Consider the following 6344-nt stretch of genomic DNA (forward strand, 5'->3'; position numbering starts at 1 on the left):
ACACACACACACATGCTTTCTAGGCTCCCCATTCAGATTTGTTTATAAGATGACATCAAAGTGCAAAAAGTTAAGCATATCATATTTATCAAAGTAGAATTTCTAAATTTTAGCAAAAATCATCTCATCTAGCAAAGAGATATTTGACTGGAAATACATGTTAAAATTTTCCAGCAGTCCGAATCTCTGGAGATCTAGTAATAAAGAGGATCAAGAATAATGTATTAATATTATAAAACATTCTTGAGGTGGTCAGAAATCATGAAAACTTTGCCCAACATTACTTTTTGCGTAATATGGTTGGGTTTTCTGCCCCCACCCCAATCTCGTCTTAAATTGGAATCCCCATAATACCCATGTGACAAGGAAGAAACCAAGTGGAGGTAATTGAATCATGGGGGCATTTTCCCCCATGCTGTTCTCATTATAGTGAATGAGTTATCATGAGATCTGTTTTTTTTTTTTGGTTTTTTTTTTTTTTTTTTGAGACAGAGTCTCGCTCTGTCGCCCAGGCTGGAGTGCAGTGGCATGATCTTCGCTCATTGCAAGCCACGCCTCCTGGATTCACACCATTCTCCTGCCTCAGCCTCCCGAGTAGCTGGGACCACAGGCACCTGCCACCAGGCCTGGCTAATTTTTTGTATCTTCCCTACTTCACTAGGCACTTCTCCTTCCTGCCACCTTCTGAAGAAGGTGGCTTGCTTGCCCTTTGGCTTCCACCATAATTGTGAGTTTCCTGAGGCCTCCCCAGCCACACTTAACTGTGAGTCAATTGAACCTCTTTCCTTTATAAATTACTCCATCTCAGGCAGTTCTTTATAGCAGTATGAAAATGGGCTAATAGAGCAAATTGGTACCACAGAGAGTTGAGTGCTGCAATAAAAAAACCTGAAAATCTGGAACCAACTTTGGAACTGGATAACAGGCAGAGATTGGAACACGTTGGAGGGCTCAGAAGAAGACAGGAAGATGTGGAAAAGTTGGGAACTTTCTAAGAGACTTGTTGAATGGCTTTGACCAAAATGTTGATAATGATATGGACAAAGAAATCCCGGCTGAAGTGGTCTCAGATGGAGATGAGAAACTTGTTGGGAACTGGAATGAAGGTGACTCTTGCTATGCTGTAGCAAATAGACTGGTGGCATTTTGTCCCTTCCCTAGAGATCTGTGAAACTTTGAACTTGAGAGAGCTAATTTAGCATCCCTGGTAGAAGAAATTTCTAAGCAGCGAAGTATTCAAGAGGTAACTTGAGGGCTCTTGAAAGCATTAAGTTTTATGCATTCACAAAGATATGGTTCGCAACTGGAACTTATATCTAAAAGGGAAGCAGAGCATAAGTTCCAAAACTTCACAGCTAACAATGCAATAGAAAAGAAAAACCCATTTTCTGAGGAGAAATTCAAGCTGGCTACAGAAATTTACGTAAGTAAAGAAAAGCCAAATGTTCATCACCAAGACAATGGGATAAATGTCTCCAGGGCATGCCAGAGGTCTTCACGGCCCCTCCCATCACTGGCCTAGAGATCTAAGAGGAAAAAAATTGTTTCATGGGCTGGGCCCAGGGCCTTGCTGCTTTGCACATTCTCAGGACTTGGTGCCCTGCATCCCAGCCATGGCTAAAAGGGGCCAATGTACAGCTCAAGCCATTGCTTCAGAGGGTGTAAGCCCTAAGCCTTGGTGGCTTACACATGGTGTTGGGCTTGCAGGTGCACAAAAGTCAAGAATTGAAGTCTGGGAACCTCCATCTAGATTTCAGAGGATATATGGAAACACGTGGTTGTCCAGGCAGAAGTTTGCTGCAGGGGTGGCGCCCTCATGGAGAATCTCTGCTAGAGCAATGCAAATGGGAAATGTAGGATCAGAGCCCACGCACAGAGTCACCAATGGGACACTGCCTAGTGGAGATGTAAGAAGAGAGCCACCATCCTCCAGACACCAGAGTAGTAGATCCACTGACAGCTTGCACCACGTGCCTGGAAAAGACAGAGATGCTGGATGCCAGCCTGTGAAAGCAGCTGGGAGTGGGACTGTACCCTACAAAGCCATAGGGGAAGAGCTGCCCAAGACCATAGGAGCCCACTTCTTGCATCAGTGTGACCTGGATATGAAACATGGAATCAAAGGAAATCATTTTGGAGCTTTAAGATTTAATCACTGCCCTGCTGGGTTTCAGACTTGCATGGGGCCTGTAGCCCCTTTGTTTTGGCCAATTTCTCCCCCTTGAAATGGGTATATTTTCCCAATGCCTGTACTCCTATTTTATCTAGGAAGTAGCTAACTTGCTTTTGATTTTACAGGCTCACAGGCAGAAGGAACTTGCCATGTCTCAGGTGAGACTTTGGACTTGGACTTTTCGGTTAATGCTGGAATAAAGTAAGACTTGGGGGACTGTTAGGAAGGCATGATTGATCTTGAAATGTGAAAAGGACATGAGATTTGGCAGGGGCCAGGGGCAAAATGATATGGTTAGGCTTTACGGCCCCATCCAAATCTCATCATGAAATGTAATCCCCATAATCCCCTTGTGTCAAGGGAGAGACCAGGTGGAGGTAATTGAATGGGGGCAGTTTTCCCCATGCTGTTCTCATGATAGTGAGTGAGTTCTCATGAGAGCTGTCGGTTTTATAAGGGCCTCTTCCCCTCTTCACTAGGCACTTCTCCTTCCGGTCCCCTGTGAAAAAAGTGCCTTGCTTCCCTTTTGCCTTCCATGATTGTAAGTTTCCTGAGGCCTCCCCAGCCATGCTGCACTGTGAGTCCGTTAAACCTCTTCCCTTTATAAATTACTGAGTTTGGGGCAGTTCTTTATAGAAGTATGAAAATGAACTAATACACTCATTATCTGTTAAATTCAAGTTTATAACTTTTTGTAACCAGTTCTTATTTTCTTTGAAATTACAGTAATAATGTGATTTGGGGGAGTAAGGATAGCGTTATTTCTCTCTTTGATTCCCCCAGAAATAGAAGTGTACTTGTATATTATATTCAATATATATATATACTTACTAAATACATAAAATATATCATTATCACTTTCTGTTTCATAAATATAGATGAATATCTTTATAGATATTCATGATTCTAAGTGTAATATAAACAGACTCTCCAATAAAAACTCTTAACTGGAAAAGAACACCAAATAAGGGACAAAATAATCTAAATTAAAATATACTATTTTTTCAATTTTACATTTCTTTTTAAATATCAGAATTTTATCAGTATTTTGTATAGTTTATTCAGCTTAGATCAGATCATATCCTTTTCTTTTTGGGGTTTATTAAATTATTTAGGCTTTCCTCATATTTATGGCTTTTGCCTCCCAAAATGGGATATTTCCACAATGTTCTTTCTCTCTCTTTGCTTTCTTCCTTATTAAAAATTATCTCAGACTCAGATTTCTCAAAGAACTAAAACTAGAACTATCATTCAATCCAACAATTCCACTACTGGGTATCTACCCAAAGGGAAATAATTTATTATATCAAAAACACACTTGCACTCATACATTTACCACAGCACTATTCACAATAGCAAAGATACGGAATCAACCTAAATGTAGCCATCAGTGGAGGGGTAAATACACACACACACACACACACACACACACACACACACACCCTGTAATACTACTCAGCCATGTAAAAGAATGGAATCACGTCTTTTGCAGCAATGTGAACAGAACTGGAAGCTGTTATCCTCAGGGAAATAACTCAGAACCCAAATACCACATGTTCTGACTTATAAGTGGGAGCTAAGCAAAGCAATGGATGCACATGAACATACAGAGTGGAATAACAGCTATTGGAGACTACATGGTGGAAGGGGGATAAGAGTTGAATAATTATCTATTGAGTACAACGTTTCCATTCAGGTGATGGTTGTACTGAAAGCCCAGACAATACCATAACACGATATATGCATGTGAGAAACCTAATTTGTACCTCATCAATATATAAAAATTGTAAAAATTAAAAAGTCAAAAACAATTTTCAAAATGTCAAGAAATTATCTCAGACTCAAATTAATCATTGTATTGCCAAAAACAAATGTTGGAATGTTTGTAGAGAAAAGGCAACACTTGCACATTCTTGGTAGGAATGTAAATTAGTATATCCACTGTGGAGAACAGTTCGGAGGTTTCTTAAAAAACAAAAAGTAGAGCTACCATATCATTCAGCAAATCCACTGCTAGGTATGTACCCAAAAGAAAGATAATCAGTATATCAAAGAGATATCTGCACTCCCATGTTTGTTGCAGCTCTGTTCACAATAGCCAAGATTTGGAAGCAACTGAACTGTCCATCAACAGACGAATGGGGCCGGGCACAGTGACTCACGCCTGTAGTCCCAGCACTTCAGGGGGCCGAGGCAGGTGGATCACTTGAGGTCATGAGTTTGAGACCAGCCTGGCCAACATGGTGAAACCCCACCTCTACTAAAAATAGAAAAATTAGCCAGGCATAGTGGCACACGCTTGTAATCCCAGCAACTCAGGAGGCTGGGGCAGGAGAATCCCTTGAACCCAGAAGGTGGAGTTTGCAGTGAGCCAAGATCACACCACTGCACTCTAGCCTGGGTGACAGAACAACACTCTGACTCAAAAAAAAAAAAAAAAAAAAAAGATGAATAAAGAAAATGTGGTAATTATACACAATGGAGTACTATTCAGCCATAGAAAACTGAGATCCAGTCATTTGCAACAACATGGATGGAACTGAAGGTCACTGTATTAAGTGAAATATGCCAGGCACAGAGAGATAAATGTCACATATTCTCACTTATTTGTGGGATCTAAAAATCAAAGCAATTGAACTCATGGAGATAGACAGTAGAAGGATGGTTACCAGAGGCTAGGAAGGGTAGCCTCTGGGGGACTACAGGGAAGGTGGGGATGGTTAACAGTTACAAAAAAAAAGGTTAGAAAGAATGAATAAGACATAATATTTCATAACACATCAGAGGGATATAGTCAATAATAATTTAATTGTACATTTGAAAATAAGTAAAAGGGTATATTTGGATTGTTTGTAACACAAAGGATAAATGGTTGAAAGGATAGATACCCCATTTTCCATGATGTGATTATTACACATTGCATGCCTATATCAAAATATCTCTTATATTCCATAAGTATATATGCCTAGTGTATACCAATAAAAATATAATTAAATTTAAAAAGTAATTTTATTGCCAAAAGTATATTCCTAACATTTTTTTTTTGAGCAGAGTCTTGCTCTGTCACTCAGGCTGGAGAACAGTGGCATAATCTTGGCTCACTGAAACCCCCACCTCCCTGGCACCTGCAATCCTCCCACCTCAGCCTTCCTAGTAGCTGGAACCACAGGTGTCCACCACCATGCCCAGCTAATATAAATTGAATACATAAAATTAGCTATTACTACATGATAAAGACAATGTTTGTCAGTCCCCAAAGGGAATATGTCTATTGGGACCATATACCTTATAAAGAATTCCTTAATTCAATGTAAATATAAATACAAAAATGAATTTTATTAGATAGTTTAAAGACGCATTTCAAGTAAGAATGAATTTAATACAAGGAATTAATGCTTACACAACTAATGGAAGGGCTGTGGGACAAAGGTCAAGGGAAAAGACTGCTGGGTCTTAGGGGATTAAGAAACTATAGACATCTGAAGAAATTGCCACTAAGGAACTCAGCTGACGGTAGCACTGAATCAGAGATTTGCCATCTGCCCACCATTGCCAGAAAATAAAATGATCTCCCTTCCATGTTCCAAATGCCACACTAGTACCTTTTATTGAAATAACCTAACTTTAGAATCCTACTAGTCAGGACTTATTACCATTAACAATCAAAGGACCAGAAACCAATGCAAGACCTTTCCTCTGAGCTATCTGGAAGAGTATTGCCTAATAAAATATTTATATTTTAATTGTAGAGATGAGGTAGTGCTTTTTTTAATGGCTACAAATTCTTTGACACTTCTCTCATCAACAGGTGGGGTCTATATCCTCTCTTTATCCTAGATTCTTGGAGTCCTGTGGCTGCTTTGAAAATACACTGCCAGAAGTAAAGGCATGTGAGTTGTGCAATAAGGCCAAAAAGACAACAGAGCTTCCATGTGGCTTTCTTGGATCTTTTGGTCTCAAGACTCCATCTTAGAATCCAGCCACAATATTGAGAGAAGCCCTAGTTGACAGTCTCAGCTAAGCCCAGTTTTGAGTCATCTTACCCTGGGCATCAAACATGCAAGTAATGAAGCCTTTATATATGTGCCCCCACTGCTTCATTCACCCTCACTATATGAAGCCTGAGACATCCTGGGGCAGAGCCAAGCCATCCCTTCAGTACCGTGTCTGA

At 40.1% G+C, this 6344-nt stretch overlaps 1 annotated feature.

Moving 5' to 3' along the window:
* Positions 1173-1674: an enhancer, noted in NCBI's record as "NANOG hESC enhancer chr9:23382258-23382759 (GRCh37/hg19 assembly coordinates)". NCBI's record gives its function as "activates a minimal SCP1, AML or CMV promoter by ChIP-STARR-seq in primed H9 embryonic stem cells {active_cell/tissue: H9 hESC(primed)}" and the evidence as "EXISTENCE:reporter gene assay evidence [ECO:0000049][PMID:30033119]".

This window comes from Homo sapiens, chromosome 9, assembly GCF_000001405.40.
Source record: "Homo sapiens chromosome 9, GRCh38.p14 Primary Assembly".
Taxonomy (NCBI): Eukaryota; Metazoa; Chordata; class Mammalia; order Primates; family Hominidae; genus Homo; species Homo sapiens.